This window comes from Homo sapiens, chromosome 3, assembly GCF_000001405.40.
Source record: "Homo sapiens chromosome 3, GRCh38.p14 Primary Assembly".
Classification (NCBI taxonomy): domain Eukaryota; kingdom Metazoa; phylum Chordata; class Mammalia; order Primates; family Hominidae; genus Homo; species Homo sapiens.
In genome coordinates this window covers 173721234-173741627 of record NC_000003.12, presented here as the reverse complement: position 1 = coordinate 173741627, position 20394 = coordinate 173721234, and the positions used below count along the sequence as shown (strand labels likewise).

General features: G+C 35.1%; 1 protein-coding gene and 1 long non-coding RNA gene across 34 annotated transcripts in view; one reads left to right on the top strand and one right to left on the bottom strand.

The window, feature by feature from the left end:
• The window catches only part of NLGN1 (neuroligin 1), an 898421-nt gene that overhangs the window by 552745 nt on the left and 325282 nt on the right, over nt 1-20394 (bottom strand). The window lies entirely within an intron of this gene.
• On the top strand, nt 5704-10252 carry LOC105374225 (uncharacterized). The gene is made up of 2 exons (XR_924728.4): nt 5704-5783; nt 9979-10252. It is a non-coding gene; the product is annotated as an uncharacterized LOC105374225 (long non-coding RNA).

Here is a 20394-nt window from a genome sequence, read left to right as displayed (position 1 = left end):
CCAGCTACTTGGAAGGCTGAGGCAGGAGAGTCACTCGAACCTAGGAGGTGGAGGTTGCAGTGAGCCAAGATCGCGCCACTGCACTCCAACCTGAGTGACATAGTGAGACTCTGTCTCAAAAACAAAAACAAAAACAAACCCAGAAAGCTGATATAGAAGACCTCAAGTTAGTAGGAAGATGCTAAGGAGCCCATGTATGCCACTTCAAAGACTATCAGTTCCCTGGAACATCAGTGTGTCCCTTTTACCTGGCACATAGTAGGTATATAAGAAATATTTCCTGGGCGTTAAGTCTATAATATCAATTTTTCTATGATGGCCCTGGGCTAGAAATTATATGTTAACTCAAGAAATGGCTCTTGATTGTCTGCTCTGTGCCAGATGCCATGCTAGGCAACAGAATAAAATTGATACCACTTAATGGAATCCAAGCAGCAAGTTAATGGATTATTACTGCACTGATTCTAACAATATTTAAGATGTAATACTTATGTACTGGTAACTATCTTCTTTAGGTTCTATTAGTTTATAAAATGTTGACTAAATCAAACTTCCATGTATTTAGGCATTCTGATAACTAATTGTATACCTATATGCTAAGAGTTTTCATAAACGCTTAATTTTGTATGCTAATAATACTTTGCGTGTTTTATAAAGTCAAAGCTGTTTTTTCTGTAGGCTTTGAAATTGTCACAGAAGATAGTCTGACTCCTTGATTTCACATCTCATCTACTTTCATTTGGTCCTTCTTTGTCAGTGCTAGCAAGCCCTTACCTTCTCCACCTTACGCATGGCTTTTCTAGTTTTCGAGAACAATTTATCCTTTCCTTTTATTTTTCAATTCCAAAATCTTTCATCATCCAAGAATTAAACACATGATTGCTTCCTTGCCTATAAACTATGGTGTGAGCAAAAACAAGCACATTTTCCTTTTAGATGTCATTGCCTGTCACCATAACTTTTCTTTTGCATATTCTCAACTTTCTAAACCTCGCTGTAATTTTTTTTACTCCTTTCTTCAAATTTTTCTTTCTGTTTGTCTATAATTATTTTCTTCTCTTTCTAATCAGTACTTCTTTGGAACAGGGGTATGGGAGGGCATGAGGGAGAACTTTGGCCAAGATATGGGTTTTATATTGGCAGGTCTGGACTTGATCAAAAGAGCCTTATTTTTTCTGTGCAAAATACTATCCTACAATGTGCTATGTGCAAAATATGGTCCATTCTTTTACTGTTTAATTTGCTTAAACAGGTGATGAATGTAGGAATCCAGTGTTAAATAACAGAGAATTCATAATTTTTCTATTATCCCTAATGTATGATTTGACTTAATATAGCACAAAATCACTGAGTTCCTTCTAACTAACTGTCTCGTTCCATATATACCAGTAATTTCCATTGGTTAGCTCATATGGCAGACTCCAGGGATAAGTACTGTGTGCTAATTTACTGTCCTTTATGTTTTATGTTCTTATTGCAATGAGTTGGACCCATCTGGAAGGATTATCTATTTTTGAATCTTAATAGTCTCTTCTGAGGCTACACAACCAAAATTTAAACTAAGGTTTGTTTCCTCTCCCCTATACTCTTTCTTTTTTAAATAAATAACCTAAATTAGGGAAAATGGGAAAACAGTTACAATGATCTCATCCCCAATATAGTTTAAACTGTCTGTTAGGAAATGAATCAGTAGTGCAGCAATCTGTTAAGCTTTTTCCAGTCCATCAACTCAGAATGAAAGAATTCCACCCAGAAATTAGGAATTTCCATGGGCATTATCTTGCCATGCAAAGTAGAAGCGCATTTACAACCTTTGTTTTGTTAACAAATGGTTTATTTACTGAGGATGGTTAACTGAAACTCTAGAGTACTAGGAAGAACGTCAGCCTTATTTTAAATAAGGCACGAAAATATTTTGACCAGACATTTATATTTTGCCATTTTCCAAATAGAGTCATTTTTTTTCCTCTGCCCTTGCCATGATGTGACATTTAATTATGGATTCTCTAGAAACCTTTCCCTGAGGTCTTTTACATCAGAAGTACCTTTTCCAGGAGGACTCTAGTGGAGTTTTTCATTATGACAGCAGCTCCCTATGGCTTAGCTTGCTATTAAATCCTGAATTAATATAAGCAAACCCCTTCCGTTGACAAGATAAGCAATGTTTCCTTTTGTTTTCCAGAAGAGGATCTACTAGGTTAGTTGTCACAGCCTGGACCTTTCATTGGTAGCCTTTTGTTCGGGTTAAAATATTTACAGATACATGTGCTTTTCATCTAACAGATTTTACAAGCTAGTATTACAGTATATTCTCAATCAAAATATTGTGGAGGTTCTGCAATGCCTACCAAGTAAATGCTAAACCCCTTAAGCTGGCTTTTCTGGCCCCCACAATGTGGTCTCCTTTATTCGAGCGGAATATTTGACCACTTTCCTTCACACGTCCCATTCTCTAGCTAAACTGAACTGTTTGATGTTCCATGAGTACGACTCATGAGTTCCTGCTTGGGGAGCTTTTGTTTGTGCCATCTTGAATATTCTCACCAATGCCCCTCTCTTCCAATACAGCCTGATGAAATCCTAGACAACTCAAGGTTTATGTCATACTTCTTGAACAGCCTCCTCCATGAATAGTCTTTTTCTTTCTCCATGGATAAAACCTTCTCCTTTTAATCTGCAAGGGGGTTTCACTGTACATCTTTTATGTCACTTATCTTAAGCTACCTCAAATTATAGTTTTCCATGTTCTAATATCAAATGTTTTTGCCTCTTGCAGTTGAATGTTAAGATGGCAGTACTCTCCAAATTGATCTACAGATTCAACACATTTTAATCAAAATTCCAGATACTCTCTTTGCATAAATTGACAATCTGATCCTAAAATTCATATGGACATTCAAGGGACCCAAAATTGCCAAAACGATCTCAAAAATAAACAGAGTTGGAGGAATTACAATTTCCCATTTCAAAACTTACCCCAAAGTTACAGTAATCATGATTGTGTGGTATTGGAAGAAGGGTAGACATATAAATCAATGGAATAGAATCAAGAAACTAGAAATACCTTTTCACATTTATAGTAAATGATTTTTGTCAAGGGTTCCAAGAAAATGCATTGGGGAAAGAATAGTTGTTTAACAAATGGTCCTGAGTCAACTGGATATCAACATGTAAAAAAATGAATTTGGACTCCTTCCTCACACCATGCACAAAATTAACTCCAAATAGATTATGAACCTAAATGAGAAGACAAAACATATAAAATTCTTAGAAGAAAACATAGTAAAATTTCACAACCTTGGTCTAGACAACGCATTTTTAAACATGACACCAAAAGCACAAATAACAAGAAAAAAATGATAAACTGGACTTCATAAAAATTTAAAAATTTTGTATTACAATGATTACAACAAAGAAAATGAAAAGACTACACATAAAATGAAAGAAAATATTTGCAAATCATGTATCTCATAAAAGACTTGTGTCTAGAATACATAAAGTTTTCTTACAATTCAATAATAAAAATTTAAAAAAAAATTTTAAATGGGCAAAGAATCCAAATAGGCTTTGCTCCAAAGAAGATATAGAAATGGCCAACAAGCACACAAAAGATTCTCAACATCATTAGCCTTCAGGGAAATACAAATCAAAACCCAATGAGATATGATTTCACATTCATTAAGTGCCCATAATAAAACAGACAGATAAGCAAGTGTTGGTGAGGATGCAGAGAAGTTGGAATCCTCATACACTGCTGGTGAGAATGTAAAATGATGCATCCACTTTGGAAAATAGTCTGTTGGTACCTCAAAGTGTTAAATATTGGGTTATCATATGGTGCAGCACTTTTACTTCTAAGTAGACAATCTGAGAGAAATAAAAACATGTCCATGCAAATTCTTGTACATGAATGTTCGTAGGAGCATGAGTTATACTAACCAAAAAGTAGAAAAAACTCAAAGTCCATCAGCTGACACTGATAAATACAATGTAGTATATCCCTACAATGTAATATTATTGTGCAATAAAAAGGAATTATGTACTGATACATGCTATGATGTGAGTTAATCTTAAAAACATTACACTAACACAATAAGCCAAAAGGTTGCATATCATATGATTCTGTTTACAAGAAAAGTCTTGAAGAGGCAATCTATAGAGACACAGATTAATGGTTGTCTAGAGGTGAGGGGTTGAGAGGAAATGGGTAGTGACTGCTTATAGGTATGGGGTTTCATTTAGGAGTAATGAAAATTGTGGTGATGGTTTCAAAATGTATTGTGGTGATGGTTGCACAACTCTGTGAATATAGTTAAAACCACTGAATCATACACCTTAAATAGGTGGATTGTCTGGTAAGCAAATTAAATCTCAATAAAACTTTTTTTTTTTTCTTAGTGAGGAGGCTTTATATTAGCAATCATACAGGAAGTTGTCTTTCGTTGTCTAGTGTGGAAACTCAAGTGACACATGTTCACTCTATTTCTCTAGGTAGTTAAGACCTAAATTACAAATAAACTACCAGTGGATTTTTGCTTTTGCATTTATCATGTGATCTACTAAATAAAATGGGTTCTGTTTAGTAATATTACTATAATTAGAAAGATTCTTTGTAAAAATTATCAGCCATTTTAGAGTAGGTAAAATGAAATAATAAGTAGAACATCTCTGATTTACTGCCACCATTAAAATCTCAGCTACATTTTGAAACTATCTGCACCAATATTGCTCATAATTAAACAGAGGTATTATGCAAATGTATATAGTTTTAATTTATCAATAATGATCAATTTTGGCCAACATTAGTGGGTAGGTATATGAAAAATATAAATATATATTTCTACTTTGAAGTCATAATCATATTGTAAGTGAATTGGGTTTAGATTTTAAGGTTATTTTACACTTTAATGGTTTACTAGCACCTTTAATATTTTGTAGGTACTTGAATTTCCAAGACAAAATTATTTTTTTTTTATCTGCAATGGCTCTTTTCTCATACTGCAACCCTCTCCAAGCCTCCCTTCTAAAAAGATGGAGGACTTCATCAGAAGTCACAAAGGAACAATTTTTGTTCAGAAATAAAAAACAAGTCAGAAGGCTGAATCTCATCTTACAACTATGTTCTGGTCCCCTTCTATGTTTATATTTCCCCTCCATTTTTTTTGATATTGGTTCTGCATAGCCATCTGTAAAGCATATTCCCCTGGACTTCATGCTTCCCAGAACATTACACACAAACTGTGCATATGTTTTTCCTAAACTTAGTGATCACATTTGTAGGACTGGTGGAAGGAGAGTGGGGGACGGGAAAAATTTCCTCCTTTCTTACGCACAGAAATCAATCAGCAATTTCACTTCTGTGAGTAAGAAGTGGAGAAAGGAAGAAAGGAGAAAGAAAAGAAGGTAGGTAGAAAGCATTCTCACTTCTATATACTGTATTAAGTAGCCAACATAAAGCTAGAAACGAATCAAGCTGAATTCATTTTTACTCTATTCTCACAATGCTGTTATCTTGTCTCTAACCTAGGGCATCCACTTCCTTCAGTCTGTGCCTACCTCCCAAACATGAAGTCTTCCAACTTTTCTGTGCTTCCATCTGCTTGGTGTCTGCCTGAGAAAGAGGTTTCTAAGAGCTACTCCAAAAACCAAAATCACCCTCAAGGAAAGCATGAAGATACAAAGATAAAATATATATTTTTATAACATGTTTGAATGACTCACAACACAAAAAAGCATTTCAAAATGCCACCTGTAATTGGAAAAATAATATTTATATGCAAAAGGTATTTTAAAAAAATTATGTGAATGTCACCAGTCCCTTGTGCAATATGAGTCAACTTTGGCCCTAAGAGTGACAAGTCTAACCAAATTGTCAATCTTTAATGTTATTTCAAGACCCTAGGCAGAAAATTATTACACAGCCTCCTGTGAAAAAGGAATAACAAAAATAGCAAAAGCAAATTTCATCCCCAAAGGGACTCTGCTCCTCTCCAAACTTATCTCTATGCAGATTTGAGACAGAAGAGTTGGCCTGGTATGCAAGAAATCAGCCAGCTGACAACAGCTTTCTATGTTGCAGAAGAATGAGAAGTTAAATGTATTTCATGAACCAGTAAGAAATTTTAGTCTTATAAACTTGTAAGAAGGGTCTTTTTCCTAATCCTTTGAGTTTGATTTGCAGCAGTCTGAAATGTGAGAAAGAATTGCTTCATTAGTATTTTACATTGCTCTTCTCTTCTCTATAAATTCAAGTGGCCAAAGATGTACTGGGAAAAAATAAAAGTGTTTCAGTAGTTCCATGTGCAAGGGAGAAAAGGAATGAAAATAAACTCCCACGTATTAAAACAACAAAATATTCACTTTTTGGACTAAATATTGCTAGAACTTTGCATTTTGGTTGTTACTTTTTAAAACAGTAGTTGGAATTTGAGTGAATCATCTTACTTTTTGTATCTTATGCCCATACATAGTTACAGGAACCTGGAAACTGGAATATTACTATGGACATGCAAATTAATAGAGCTCATAAGGGCAACTGAAGTTCATTCCCTTCTTCAGAGTCCTAGTGGACCCTTATTTGCATAGCTGGATTTATAACTGACAAATACTGCATTAAGTTTAATTCTTAAAGGAAAAAGAAAAACCTTTGCAGAGAAGAATGTTGTGCCACATTAGTCATAAAGATGGAGACCTGTACATAATCTAAGAAAAGATCCATTATTCCATGCTCTTTATTCTGCCGTTGCTAATACCAATTGTCCTGATCACTTTGAGTCAGAGTTCAGAAAAAAGCAATTGCAATAATTTGTTGAAGATATTAACTTTGTCAGGGAAAATTCCTACTGAGGAAAAATAGAAGAAAAAGAGTTTCTTAAGGGGAAAAATGTGATTTATTCAGATTGCTTGTTACTAGTGAATTAATAAGGCCAGGTGCAGTGACTCATGCCCATAATCCTAGCACTTTGGAAGGCAGAAGCAGGAGGATTTGCTTGAGGCCAGGAGTTCAAGACTAGCCTAGACAACATAGTGAAACCTCATCTCTACAAAAAATAAAAAATAAAAAATTAGGTGGCTGTGGTGGCACACTCCTGTAGTCCCAGCCACTTGAGAGACTGAGGCAGGAGAACGACTTGAGCCCAGGGGTTTGAGGCTACAATGAGCTATGATTGAGCCACTGCACTTCAGCCTGGGCCACAGGGTGAAACCCTGTTTCTAAAAAAAAAAAAAAAAAAAAAAAAAAAAAAAATAGAATTATCCACAGAATCTAATTATCTGATATAATTCTCAATAGACTGAAAACACAACATGCATGTCACTTTAGGAATATACAGTGTTTATTATCTTGAACTAAAATGTCAGAAATGTGATCAGCCAAATAAATTAGGCTCTAAGGCCTTAACATGATCATAATTCTAAAGCCATCAATATTATAAAACCAAATGTTATTAACAAAACCAATAAAGGAATTTCCTAAAATGAAAAAATGTAATTATAAGATGCTTTCTGATTATTTCTGCAGGAATAGCAGACATCCAGGACTTTCATTAGCTTTAGTATTTAATAATTAAAATATAACCGCAAAGTCTACTTGATGTGCTCACAGAAAGAAGTAACACTAGATAACCGGTAATATTATATCTTTTGTCATTTGATATGTCAAATGACATAAAACCTAGTCATTTAGGTTTTATGCTCATTCACTAGATTTAGTACATCTAAACTGAAAATGCACTATCCATCAAACAATGTTTTTATTTTCTTGTTGAATTTGGTGGTATGGACAATGCTTTTTTGCAGGAATTTTTACACAAACAGTGTTCCTCCCCCGTGACAAATGTCAAAGGCCATAATTTTATTACCTTTGGGACCATATGCATTTTTGAAGACTGAATAAATTAGTCACTATTAAGAGAGCTGCATTCTAATACACAGCAAAAATGGTTTATATACAGAAGAGTGAACTTGAAAAGTGGTGTCATAAACATGCACCAAGATTTCAAGGTGAAGTTAGGAACCTCCTTGAATCTTACCCAGGAGAAAAAGTGGTACACTTGCAGGCAATATGCCTGAAGCTCTCCTGGAACAGTATCTTCCACTTTCACCACCCAGGCCCTCTGTTGTGGAGAAAAGAGTGTATCCTTCCTCCCTGACAGTACAGCTGCTGAAAGCTACTGCAGAAAAGGGAACAATGATTAGAGAAAAGGGAAAGGGAAAGAGAGAAGGAATGAAAAGGCATTAAGCTTATCAATTCCAGTGATAATTCAGAAGCTCTAAATGAGATTTTCCTTCTAAAATGTAATTACCCCTATAAAATAGAAAATAAGAACAACCATTCCTGAAAGTTTTGCAAGATTTTCAAAAAAATATCTATTCTAAATGCATTTATAACTCAAGCACCACCTGCTGGTTCAAATTGGATCTTCCCACTCACTCAACAACTCCAATCAGCCAAGAAGACAATTCAAGTTTTCATAGGAATGAAGCAAGAAGACTACTGATTTTTAAAACCAGATTTAAGTTGTTTTGCTAAAATGTATAACCAGCTTTATATTTCCATCTCGTATTTAAACCAAAAACATTAAAAATGTACTGTTATAAAAATTGAAAGATAATTTTTGATATAAAAGGTATAATCTGTACATACCATATTTGTATATATTTCTGTGGTTCATCACCAATACTCTCATTAACTACTGTTACAAACATTATCTTGCTAATGTTTATTTTTATTATCATAATAATTTTATAATACATGAAACTTTCAAATATCTTAATAAAAATAAACTGATATGTTTTACCACACAGACTAAATAAACATCTACTAATAAAAGTCACTATCAAATGAAGAGGCTTGTAGAAATGACTCACTGTAATTTAGCTAGTTACCTTTTCCAGTTCTTCAACAATGAAAATTTAATTCTTTGAGAATGTGTCTTAGAATTAGGTCACTGAATCAATTTTGCATTTGTTTAAAAAACCGTCACTTTTTGCCTCTTTCACAGAAAAACTAACCTAAACTAAAATAAAAATAACTATTTTCACTGTAACTACTGAAATATACAGCTGGTTATCTCATGAATGAAACTGCAACTACCCACCCCGAACCCAGCCGCAAAGTGTCCCTGTTACATAAATGTTTCTAATGTATTAAAAGCAGCTATGTGCAGCACTTACAGACACGGCCTCAAAGCCTAACTAGTAGCAGCATCTTAGGGCTACATTAACTGTGTATCCTAGGCAACCAAGTCATGGCTAAAGCATCACAGTGTTTGTTTAAAACGTGATGTGGAAAGCAATCAGAGGAGCTTCAATTCCAGGGAAATTCCTTTTCAATGTAAGCCTCACACTGTATCAGAGTGGTGCTGTTTGCACCATTATAATTAAGAATGTGTCACCATATTCATTATTTTCAAGGTTTTGTAACTCAGCTGTAAAAAATTAGTCATAGTAATTAAAAGATGGAAAACATCTAGTTATGCTAAGATGTCCTACTGGGGCATTTAAGGTCCTAGTGAAGGGGGTTTAAGCAATTTAAATGAGAGATAATATTTTATCTTAACTACCTTAAAATACTATCCTAACCACTGGTATATTAGAGGTATGTTTGAAAATAATTGTAAACAACAATTTAGTTTGTACTTTTCTTAATAAAAATATACATCATCTATTTTAACACCATAATGATTATGATTTTATTCCTCAGTGAGTTTATCTTTTCATTACTCTGTTAGCAAAGAGCAGTATTGTTCTTTACAAAAAATGTCTTTTTAATTTTTTGACCACTTCCTGAACTCAGTCATAATACAAGAACCTAAATCCATCTCATTTTGCACATCTCCTTTATATATTTATATTTCTATGTAAATTATAGGTACAGAATATTGTTCTAGGTGAATTATTTTTTAAACAGAATTTGTATTTTTCTTTTTTTGGTTTCCTTATGCAATAATGAAAAATGTTTCTCATGCTGTTTTTCAGATTGAAGAAGGAACCTGAATTTTTTAAAACAAAAGGAAGCAGTAATTGTGGTAGAGAAGAAAGGATAACTAACCTTTACTGAGAGCCTGCTGTAATAGCTACACAATACTATTTATCACATATTTATTTCATCTCATCCTCTCAATAGTTCTGCAGAAAAGGTAGTATTTCCCATTTCATAATGAGGAAACTCACAATATTAGTGGGACCTGGATCCAAAGTCCTAATATTTTATACGATTTGTGCATTTCCAAAATAAAAACTTGAAATTGAATACAGTCCATCTTATATTTAAATGATTTTACAAAATATTAGAAACAAAATTATAAAGTAACTCCATCTTTCTTTCCATTCTTCAGATTTTATTGCTATGTTTCATGGTCATGTTTAATTAACAAATGTATACAACTTATCAGAACTCAAGAATAAAATGAAACTAAGGGTTTCAAAAACCTATTTCCTTTAAAAATCTGGTAATAACACAACTTACATTATGCATAAAATAGTACTAAATTTTTCCCTAGAAAAAGAGAAATTGTCATCTAAGACTCTATGTGAATGATATCGGAATGAAAACAGTCACAGATTATACGGTAAAATTATTCTGCAGAGCCGCTCCAAGAGACAGAATAGCCCCTTGGTGATGGCCAAGGGATTTCTCAAGGCACATATCATGGCCTCTTTGAAGCCTTGCCCAGATTGATACGTTTGCTTTCTCTTTAAAATTCTGAAGTTAGAAAATATTATTTCCTCAATTATTTTCAAAGAGAATATATCAGAGATTTTATTATCTTCTACAGGTGCTCAAATCTGATGTTCCGTAAGTAAGCTTTAAACATTTTGTTCTATTTAAAAGAAAGACCTTTTAATAAATAACTATATTTTGTTTTTATATTGGAATAGTTGAGAAAACAATTTGCCTATTTCCTCATTTTTTTATTTGCAGCGTGTGAGGAAAAAAAGATATGAATTACTTAATACTCTCATTTCATATGGAAAAGACAAGGCAAACAATCAAGGCATTAGATAAGTGCTGTCCAGTACAGTGACCACTAGCTACTTGAAGCAGCTATTGAGCAACCTGAAATGTGGTTAGTCTGAAATGAGTGTAAAATACCACTGAAATTTCAATGCTTAGAATGAAAAAGGTGTAAAAATCTCATTTTCACAATGATCGCTTGTTGAAATGATAATATTTTGGAAATAAAATATGGCCATTTACCTATTTTACCTATTTCTTTTCTTTTAGTGTGGCTACTAAAAAATTTTAAAATTACATATGTGGTGCAAATTTGTAGCTTTCATTCTATTTTTGCGGGGGGGGGGGAGCGGTGGGGCAGTAGTGTGTTAGACCTCAAAACATGAGGCATGAAAGTTTAGATCTGAAATCACTGATATTATCTACAAGATATTTCCTACTACAATTTTGTTTTACTCTTTCTCTTGTATCCTGGTATTTCCAATATAATTGATAAATTTATATATAATCATGTATATTGATATATAATAATATATAAGCATATATGCACTGAACTCCTTCCAATGTTATATTTTCAATATCTAAAATAATACCTGGTCAATAGTAGGCACTCAATAAATAGTTTTTTTTTCTGTATTTCGAATTAATGCATTTTTCTAGCACCAAACACAAGTCAGAGATAGAGGGCAAAAAGAGGAAATTCTGCCTCACTGACCTATTCAGAAACTTTAAGTCCCATAGGTGAAATATCTGAAACAAATAGATATGCAAATGTAAAATGGAATTTTTGAAGCATTTGACAGAATATGGAAATTGGTAATCAGTAAAAATTTTCTATGATTGGATTACAGAACCACCAATGTATGGGTCCCACCACATACACATTTATATTGTGAGTGACCTGGACATTTGACAATGCATTCACCTTTAATATATACAACTATAACAATAAAGCTATTTTTAAGCTTTTATCAATGCTGTCAATATTTCTCCGTAAAAATTAAACTTAGCAATGTTATTCTTTTACAAGCAGCAGAAATTCCACGTTGCAGATTTGCATTCCATCAAAGGCATTATAATAAATTAAGAAGAATCATTAGAAAAGCTTACAATTTTGCATATTGCTTCACCAAGACTTCAAATCTGTGTAAGTGTGTGTATTTTAAACCATCCACGCAACTTATGTCCCTGGGTAAAATAATTTTAGAGATTACAAAAATCTTTAGATACCAAAGCCTAAAGAATTAGGATAGATGGAAACAAAATGAAGTTATTGTAATGCCCAAAGACTCAGAGGCTCACAGAAGACCAAGGAGTCTAAACATAGGAACAAGAAGTATTATCTGGGTTAGGAATCCTTGATCCATTGATGAATCTGAACTCAACAAAAAGTGTTTTGTTTTGTTTTTCGAGAATTTTAAAGCTGAAAATACATTTTCTGGGAATTGCTCAGCAGTGGATGGAATGACTGAGAGATAACTTGCTTGGTGGCTCTTAAGTCCAACTGATATTTTAAGAATCCTGGTTTCAAAAATTACTACCAGTATGACCTGGGTTTATAAAACCCCTCAAAGTCTTAGTGTTTTCATTTTAAAAGTATATGACAATCATCTCAGCAAAATAAGATTCCATCAGGTAATCTGAATAAAGTATTCAGTACAATGTCTAGCACATACTGATGGTTCAATGTTTATTATTTGCTGTAGTTCAGATATGTTATTAATTTCCTAGGGCTACAGGAACAAATTACCACAAACTCGGTGGCTTAAAATGAGAGAAATTTATCCTCTCACAGTTCTGGATGCTTGAAGTCTGAAATCAACCTGCCAGCAGGGCCATACTCCCTCTGAAGACTCTAGGGAAAAAAATCCTTCTTTGCGTCTTCCTAGCTTCTGGGGGCTTCCAGCAATCCTTAGCATTGCTTGACTTATAGCTGCCTCATTTAAATGTCTGCTTCTGTTTTTCACATGTTGTTCTTCCCTATACGTATGCATCCATCTGGTTCACCTCTACTCTTACAAAGATACCAGTCTTTGGATTTAGGGCCCACTCTAATCAAGCATGACTCATCTGAACTAAGTACATCTTAAAAGACCCAATTTTCAAATAAGGTCACATTTTGAGGTGTGGGGTTGACATGAATTGTTGGAGGGGGGGCACTATTCAACCCACTATAGATATTTAGCCCATTCTAAAGCTCACGTGGCTTTAACCAAAACAAGGGAAAGGTCAGAACACAATGGAGTATAAAGGAGGTAGTCACCTCTGTTATATATTGTCCTCCCATACATACATGCAAAGTCCACCTAGACTGGTAGTGTGAACACATTATTTTTCCATATGCCAAAATTTGCCTGTAAGATATCTTCTACCAGTTTGTTTTTATGTTTCTTAGGACTTTCATAGTCTTGCCACGTCTTATTCATTTGTCACTTACATCTTGTCACTAAGTCTAGTCATTTTTCTCTACTACACATCTCTCACATCCATTCTTCTCTCTCACTTCGAATTCTACCCAACCTTAGTGCCTCACACTAACATGAGTATAACCACCTTCAAACTAACCCTTGCCTCTAGACTTTCCCACCATAGGGCAAACTGCTGAGAGATTAATTCCCTATATTTTTTTCATATCAGTTCATATTCCCCAAGCCATCAATGATTCACCATTTATTTAGAGTAGAATCTACGTTCTTCAGATCAGCTGCATAGACTTTTATGATCTGATCCATTCACTTACCCCCAAATACTTCCTTCTGCAACTCAGTGGGAAACACCATCTCCAGTAATCCTGGTTTATTGTCTCCATTGCCTTCCTGTACTTCTTTTTGATTGCAAGAGGAAATTCCTTCTTAGCAGCATCAAAAAATACAGAGAATAATTCTGCCTTCATTTCAAAAGTCACTTTAAACCGAAATTCTGAGCTATAAAGGATTTGTAAAGGAGCCAGAATGTTTCCTTCCATGAATAAAGGATAAAGAATTTGTATATATATATACTTGTGGACTGGGACCCTACAGCCCTTGCAAGGTGTGTGGGTTGGGCAAGAGCTGAAAGGTTAAAAATTGGCTTTTGCTAGAGTGAATTCCAACCAAAAGAATGTTCATTTGGAAATGCCCAGCAAATGGTGAGAGCCAAGTCTAGGTTTTGTGTCAGTATTATTTCCAGGAGATAGTTTAAGGTGCTAGAAGGGCATACAACTCTAGCACGTCAGTGGCAGGCATAATGAAAGATATTTGCAAGAATCTATTATTTTACAAGAGTAGCATTGAAAGATGTGCTTTATAAATATTTTTCTACTTTTTAATAATTGAAAACTAGATATTGGTCTCCAAAGGAAAATATGTTTCTCTCCTGGGAAGTCAGCTCTGTATGTTAGGTAAGATTTCTGGGAACGGTCATTTAAGCTTGCCACTTACTAATTAACTGATCCCATGAAATACTTAAACCCTACTAGGATTTGCTATGCCCCAGTAAATCTGTTTCCCCCTCTGATGTTTCACTGTTGCTTTTTCCTCCCAACAGTGGCTATGAAACTTCTGTTGATAGAGGGACTATCCAAATCAAGCAAATCCCTGACTCTCTTCTCAATTGATAGACGCTGCCTTATGTTTAAAAGTTTTTCTTTTTCTTTCTTTCTCTCTCCTTTTCTGTTCCTGCTTTGATTAAACAAACACCAGAGAAGTTCTTGATTATTTTTTCTTCTTCTTCTTCTTCTTTTTTTTTTTTTGGTAAGGAAATGGAAAGTGAATCGCAAGTTGCTTCTGAGGCAAAGAACATAACTTTTATTATCTCTACTCCCTGTTACTACTGACTGTTATTAATTTTAAACTTTTGTTGCATTTTTCAGGTAATAAAAAAGCAATAAAGTAGTCCTTTAATACAAACTGTACAACACTTGTTGTCTGTTTTAAAAATCAAACACACTTTATAAAGAAAGGTAAAACTATTTATGGCTCCCTTGATGAACAAAAGTAGATATAAACCAAATGAAGAAAAACATGTGTTATTCCTTCAATAAATATTTGAAAGCTTGCTGTTGACAAGGTTTAGAGAAAGGTGACAGGCCACAAGCCATTTATAACATTGCTTTGTCCTTCTAGACAGCTGGTGAAAAGTTGGAGAACCAGAGCATAATAATAATAAAGGGTATTGTCATGTTTTATAACACTTTATAGCTCAAAATTTGATTTTTCATAAAATATTTTATACCATTTTCTTGAGAATCCTGTGAGAAAAGATGATGGAAAGATACTGGTACAGCCATTTTAAAGATGGGAAAACTGAGGTAATGATAGATTAATTACCTTGCCGTATTCCCATGATAAAACAGAAAGTATTAAGAATAGTGCTCATGTCTTCTTACCCCTGTTCTATGATTTCTTATTTCATAACCAAGATGAAGACCAAAATTTTACTCCTTCCTACAAGTTCCAGGAAGAATACCTTGGATAAGAAGGAGACAAGCAGAAGAACATGCCCTAAGATGACCCCCAGTAAGTAAGGTCCTTATGGAATCCTTTCCTTCTGAGTAGGGGCATAACAAATGACTCACTTCCAACAGAGTAAGGAAAAGGCGACTTTACTCCCTTGATTAAGTTATGTTCTATGACAAAGGTGGTGGGTTGTCATCCCTATTATAATTTATGTTACATAAGACTCCAGCTGGGCATACTGGAGCTTAAGAGATTCTTCTGCTGTCCTTGAAGAAGTAGGTGAGCATGCACTGAACTGCCTATAGAGAGGGTCACATGGCAAGGAACAGCGGCAGCATCTAGGAGGTAAGAGTGACTTCCAGCCAACAGCCAGTAAGACAGTGGAGAACTCAACTCTAAAACTATAAGGAGATGAATGCTGCCAACAACCTGAGGCAGTTTGAAGTGGATCTTTCCCCCGTCAAGCCTCTGATGAGTCTGCAGCCCTTGCCAACATCTGGTGGAATCCTGAGAAAGAGAACCCAGCTAAACTATACCCAGAGCTCTGACTCACAGAAACTGACATAATAAATGTATGTGGTTTTAAGAAGCCACGCTTGTAGTGATTAGCTATACAGCATAGAAAACTAATGCAATACCTGTTTCTTTTTCTGTATGCTGTAGTGTGAGCCCTCTAACTATGAAGTTGATAAAAACAAATCAGTAATATTTTGGGGGGAAGGGATCCCCCTTTAATAATACAAACTAACATTTGTTGAGCATTTAATATGTGCTAGGCATTGCTGCAGATCTTTGGACATACTGCATGAAGCAGGGCTCAGTTCTTGGAACTAATCTCTTCCCTATTCTCATTCCCATTCTGGTTTAGTGTTTTTTAATCTTAGGAACATGTAGTAACTTTTGGCTTTTGAACAGAGAAAAGATGAGACAAGAAAAACAGAATGTATCATACCTATAAAATAAAGTTACATTAAATAATACATATTTTTTCCAGTGTATGTTTGTATGCTACCTAGTGATATGGTGATATAAAATATTATTTTTTTCTTTTTTTATTATTATACTTTAAGTTCTAGGGTACATGTGCACAATGTACAGGTTTGTTACATATGTATCCATGTGCCGTGTTGGTGTGCTGCACCCATTAACTGGTCATTTACATTCATTAGGTATATCTCCTAATGCTATCCCTCCCCCACCCCACAATAGGCCCCTGGATGTGATGTTCCCCTTCCTGTTTCCAAGTGTTCTCATTGTTCAATTCCCACCTATGAGTGAGAACATGCAGTGTTTGGTTTTCTGTCCTTGCGATAGTTTGCTGAGAATGATGGTTTCAGCTTCGTCCATGTCCCTACAAAGGACATGAACTCATGCATTTTTATGGCTGCATAGTATTCCATGGTGTATATGTGCCACATTTTCTTAATCCAGTCTATCATTGATGGACATTTGGGTTGGTTCCAAGTCTTTGCTGTTATGAATAGTGCCGCAATAAACATATGTGTGCATGTGTCTTTATAGTAGCATGATTTATAATCCTTTGGGTATATGCCCAATAATGGGATGGCTGGGTCAAATGGTATTTCTAGCTCTAGATCCTTGAGGAATCACCACACTGTCTTCCACAATGGTTGAACTAGTTATTTTAAGTGCAAATAGTAGCCGGGCATGGTGGCTCATGCCTGAATCCCAGCGCTTTTGGACGCTGAGGTGGGCAGATCACCTATGGTCAGGAGTTCCAGACCAGCCTGCGTAACATGGTGAAACCTCGTCTCTACTACAAATATGGAAATTAGCTGGGCATGGTGGTGCATGCCTGTAATCTCAGCTACTCAGGAGGCTGAGGCAGGAGAATCACTTGAACCCAGGAGGCGGTGGTTGCAGTGAGCTAAGATTGCGCCACTGTACTCCAGTCTGGGCAACAGAGCGAGACTCCGTCTCAAAAAAAGTGTGAATAGTAGTGAAAAATGGAGAAACACAATTGTAGGTGATGTCATCCTGTTTCATAATATTAAACAGCATCTATACAGGGAAGGAGTTATTTTAAGTTAAAGTTTTATCTCCAGATTCTACTTCTGTGAACTTTAGACTCATTTTCTAGTCACCTACTCCACATTTCCACTTGAATGTCGAATAGTGAAGTTCACATGTATCATGTCCAATAGCAGACTCCTGACCCCCATGGATCCCTACCCATCTGTGCGCAGTCTTCCCAATCTCAAGCTAAAAACTTGAGAGTTATTCTGACTTCTTTCTCCTATCCCTTTCATCCAATTATCAATAATCTTGTCATTTCTATCTTCAAAAGACATCAGAATCTGACCATTTCATGACACCTCTTAAGATACTGTTCTGAGCCAAACCACTACCATCTATCTGAATCATCATTAATCAAATAAATCTCCTGGGCAGCTCTCTGCTTGCACCTTTGTGCATTTCAGTCAGTCTATTCTTTTCATGGCAGTAAAAGTAATTCTTTAAGTAAATCATGACTTCTTCTCTCAACACCCTTCTCTGACTTTCTATCTCATTTACATTCCACATTTAGATGACTATAATACACACTTATTTTTATATAGAAAATTAAAAAGTGTCTTATATTCACCGTGAACCAGGTGGCAGTTATAACATAGTGATCATTGCTTGTATATGAACAAACTTGGTCATCACTTCAGTTGAATTATAGGCACTATTGGGACTACACATTTGAATTTAATATCTTCAGTAAGTTTCCACTATGATTCAACATTGAAATGAGAAGTTATTGTGTATGTAAAAAGAAACAGAGGCAGACCAGCATAGCATATAAAAGAATTTTTGTCTAAATAAGACTAAATAAACTTTTTAGATAAATACAAAATAAAAATCTATGTGATTAGAAAGTATTGTGCCATCATTTTCAGGGCAGTTTTTGTTCCTTAGTTACACATAAAATAATGATGAAGCTAACAATGAAAAATGTTTTAAATTTGATAACATGCAGTAAAAGCCAATCCTTATAATGTTCCACAGGGCCCATATATTCTCTTGCCCTCTTGACATCTTTCTAAATTTATTTCTGAAAATTCTCCCCTTTGCTCACATAGCTCTAGCCGCAATGGCCTTCAAGTATCGCTTTGAAAATGCCATGAACCCTTGTGTCACACAGCCTTTGCCTCTGCAGTTCATTCTATGTGATATGTCCCCGTCCCCTTGTAGCTTCAGGACTTATCTCACTTACCTCATTCAGGTCTCTGTTTAACCGTCATTTTATCAAGGAGATCTTCTCTGCCTATCTTATTAAAATATTCTTGCCCATCTCAAATTAATTTTTCCACGTTTTATATTTTTATTTTTCTTTCATTTATTGTCTTTCTGTCTTTCATTGAAATGCATCATAGTGCCTGGCACATAGTAGATGCTCTTAAAATTTTGATGAATAAGTAAATGAATAAATGGATCTTCACAACAACCTTATGATATTAACATTATCATTAATGATGGTAATATTATCATTGCCATTAAACATTGATGAAAAATGTGAGGAAAAGGGAGATTAAGTAATTTTGTCATGGTCATGCAGGTATTATGTGTGACAGACTCTGGATTTGATGTGGCTGCAGTGCCTGCACAATGAACCTTCCCTTATTGTTTCTCATGTCTTAATAGATGAGTGCAGATTTGAAGTCACTTATGAAGATAAAGAAAAAAAAGTTGGCCAGCTGCGGTGGCTCACACCTGTAATCCCAGTACTCTGGGAAGCCAAGGCGGGCACATCACGAGGTGAGGAGTTCGAGACCAGCTGGCCAACATGGTGAAACCCTGTCTCTACCAAAAATACAAAAATTAGTCGGGCGTGGTGGCAGGTGCTTGTAATCCCAGCTACTCTGGAGACTGAGAAGGAGAATCGCTTGAGCCTGGGAGGCAGAGGTTGCAGTGAGCCAAGATCACGCCATTGCACTCCAGCCTGAGCAACAGAGCAAGACTCTGTTAAAAAAAAAAAAAAAAAAAAAAGAAGAAGAAGAAAAGAAAAGAAAAATATGTGATACAAGTTAATGACTTACACAAGGCTACTGAAGAACTTGTTACTGAGACAGCAAAGGCTATCAACCCATTGTGTGGACACCAACTTTGGAGCTCTTTTACAATCAATTCTGTTATTTTACTAATTCCTCAGAGGTGTCATCATGTAAGGTGTTTCTCCATTCTAAGGCACTTACAATTTTGTAGCAGACACATGAAATAGAGAAGTACTTGAAAACCCTTATAATTGAATACGTAACTCCGTTCCACTGGGGTCCCTTTTTTTTTTTACGAGCAGATATTCATGTTGCCCATCATGTCACACCAACTTCCTTCTCAGCATCAAAGCATACTTGGTTCTTTTTCCTGGCCAAATGGGGGCCACTTTCCCAATTCATTAAAATGATTAAATGGTTCTGCATAGTGAAGAATAAGTCATGTGCTAGTGGCTGTACTATGCGGCAAAGATGGTAAAAATTATTTTATAGCTTTCTAAGCAGCAATAAACAAAATTTCTTTCTTTTAAAACTCCCTACTATCTCCAGTCCTTCTTTAACAATCTCCATAAATAATTACATAAAATGTGTATAGTGTATTTTGTCTTTGAAAAACCCAATGGGTTGTTGTAAAATAAAGTGATAATTCATAAATACCTAGTACAGAGTAAGCACTCTGAAGACATTATTATAATTAGTGTTACTATTATTATAAATGATCGTATGTTTACATTTTACCTTAGAGTGTGGTGACCAAACCTGAGAAATTTGAAAGCAAAAAGCAAAGAAGTGCTATGTGCAACAAAATCTATAGCGTTTACTTGTTTACTTAGAAAATACACTTAAATGAGCCTTAGTCAATATACCAAAAAACATTCAGATTGGCCTGGCTATCTTTTTGCATATTAGAAATTACAAGTGATGCCAAATTTTGTGATGTACTTTTTGATTGGACACAAGGTCACCTCGGTGAGGACAGTCAACACCAAGCTCATTTTCACCT